This window comes from Homo sapiens, chromosome 11, assembly GCF_000001405.40.
Source record: "Homo sapiens chromosome 11, GRCh38.p14 Primary Assembly".
NCBI lineage: Eukaryota > Metazoa > Chordata > Mammalia > Primates > Hominidae > Homo > Homo sapiens.
In genome coordinates, this window is record NC_000011.10 from 40,057,231 (window position 1) to 40,060,000 (window position 2,770).

The following is a 2,770-nucleotide window of genomic DNA, read 5'->3' on the forward strand; positions in this document are numbered from 1 at the left end:
GACTAGTCAATGATAATGCTTTGTTTTTGGTTTGATAATACTTAAGATGGTGACACTGGCATTAACTTATAAAGCAGTCTTTGCTGAGTTTTATTATGAAGATACTCTGTTCTGTGCTGCAGAACCTTGCCACCAAGTTTCCATACCTGGGAAACTGAGAACCTGAATCAGTAACATATCAGTATTAATGTATATCAGAGGACTGTCTCACTACCACTTCATAAGGCAAGAGATAAGAGTCAGATGGTTATGACTGGATATGCTAGTGGTAACTTTCCTGAAAATGAATGAATTGGTGATTTCTGTTTCAAAGTGTGTGTAGCTGATTTCAAGTGTTATCGGGTGTGATGGTTAATTTTATGTATTAGCTTGGCTAGGCCAAAGTACCCAGATATTTGATCAAATGTCAGATTGTCACTATAAAGAGTTTTTTTTTTTTTTTTTTTAATGAGATTAACACTTATGTCAGTAGACTTGGAGTAAAGCAGATTACCCTCCAAATGTGGGTGGCTTCATCCAATCAGTTGAAGGCCTTAGGACAAAAAGTCTGAGGATCCTCTTCAGACTCCAGCTGCAACATCAGCTCTTCCCTGGGTATTCAGCCTGCCAGCTTGTCCTGCAAATTCAGACTCGACAGCCTCTACAACTGTGAGCTAATTTAAAACAATCTTTCTTTCTCTTTTTCAAATCCCTCACTAATGCATCATGTTTTGTGTTCAGCCATGTTTCAAGCTATTTGACAATTCTCTCTTATCCGTATATATGGAAGATACAATGCTGTAGGCTCATCATACCATACCCTTTTCCTGCGAACACAGGAGGACCCCATCTTCTAGCCTCTCTTACAGTTATGTTGGACCTATGTGACTGGATTCTGGCCACTGGAAAAGCAACAGTGGATGTAACACAAGTTACTTTCAAGCCTAGCCCTTAAAAGCATCTTGCCAAACCCTTCAACTCTCTGTTACAAAGCAGCCTTGAAAGCCATGTATTCTAGGTGGCATACGAACATGATAAAGAAAGCATGTCAGACCTATATGAAACCAGAGTAAGCAATAATTTATTCTTTATTATGTTCAGGGACTGAGATATAGGAGTTAATTTCTCACTGCAGCATAGCCTAGCATTTCCGTACTAATACCCTGCATCAGTTGGGTTGCTGTGAGCAGTATGAGAAAACCCAGAGTCAGACTGGCCTCAACAATATGGAAATGCATCAACTCACATAACAGGAAGAGCAAAGGTTAGACAGATTTCATGACTGGTTGGTTATGCAGCTCAATGATGTGACCGAAGGCTATCTTTTCTTAGATGTCTCTTCTTTGTGTTCCTCAGCATTTCAGCTTCATCTTCATGCTAGTTCCCCCTTATATTCATCTGACAGGTGTCACAGAAACAAATTTCACATCATGGTCATCTCATTTCCCTAGAATACCTCCACTGTCCTTCCACTTGTCTCATTTGATGGAATTGAATACACACACCTATCCCTAAACCATCAATGGCAAAGGGATTGGGAACACTCATTGTCTTAAATAAATCAGGATTGTTATCTGAGATTAAAGGTAAATTAGCCCTCTTCTGAGTCATGAAGAAAGAAGTGAATGTATGAACCAAATCAAGCCTCTTCAAAGAGTGCATACCAAACTCAAGGTCTTTGGGATATTAAGGCTTGATATTACACCCTGGAACTCTTGAGAAATCACTACCTAAGCCATTTAAATTAAACCATCTTGACCAGGCTCCCCTCCCATTCCTCTAGGGAGAAGAGCATATATATGTAACTGCCAGAATCATATTACTACGTTGAATGACAGGGTCAGGGCAGAACATATGCATCCTGAGGCTTGAGCCGTACCCTAACCCTGAAATAGTTTCTTTGACCGCAAGCCGTCAGTGATTCTTCTCTGCAATAAATAGTGGAGACAAGACTAGTTTTTTGACTAAATTCTCCAAAGGGGTGAAACAGGCAATCAGGTAAAATATAAAACACCTTACTGAAAATTAATACAAAAATGCCCTGATTTTAGCATCATACAATAGACAAATATGTTTGAAAACACATGCTGTCTGTTATACTTTAACACGGCACAACAGGAGAATTGGGAGTGAGGCTGGAGACAAAGATGGGAAAAATAAAGAAATAACCTTAATGACAGAATGCTGTCTTGCTTCACAAAATTAATTAAGTCCTCCATTGCACGAGAGCCACATAATCTCTGCTCAAAAAGATTAACCCAATTTATACCAATTAACCCAAAGCAAATCTAGCTTTTTGTATGCTTAACAGGAGCATACATATAAGAATGCCACACATCAGGATTAAAGGGGAGTCACAGTAATTCTACTTTACTGTATAAGCATTAAAGCAGCAGTAGTACATTATCTATTTTGTTGTTTAGCATAAATGTTGATTTTTAAGAAGTGAAGAAGGTAAGGTGGAGTCCACGGTCTTGGCTTTTATCTACATGCCAATCCTATGAGAGGCTTGGTGTGAAGTGGAAAGTGTTGAAGTGGTTGAAAGGTTAGCCTTTCTAGCTTAAAAAAATCTGTCAATTATTGCCATTGTGACATTTAGTAATTCAATCAAACTTTCTTAAGTTCAGTTGCTGTGTCTATATATAAAGTAACAACAATGGATATATTCCCATAAACTTCATAGAGTTAAGTAAAAATCATCACAAAGTCAAAAAAAATGAGCTGATATAAATTATCACTGACACGGAATACTTGATCAAACATTTATGGTCTCAAAATTATTGCTTATTCA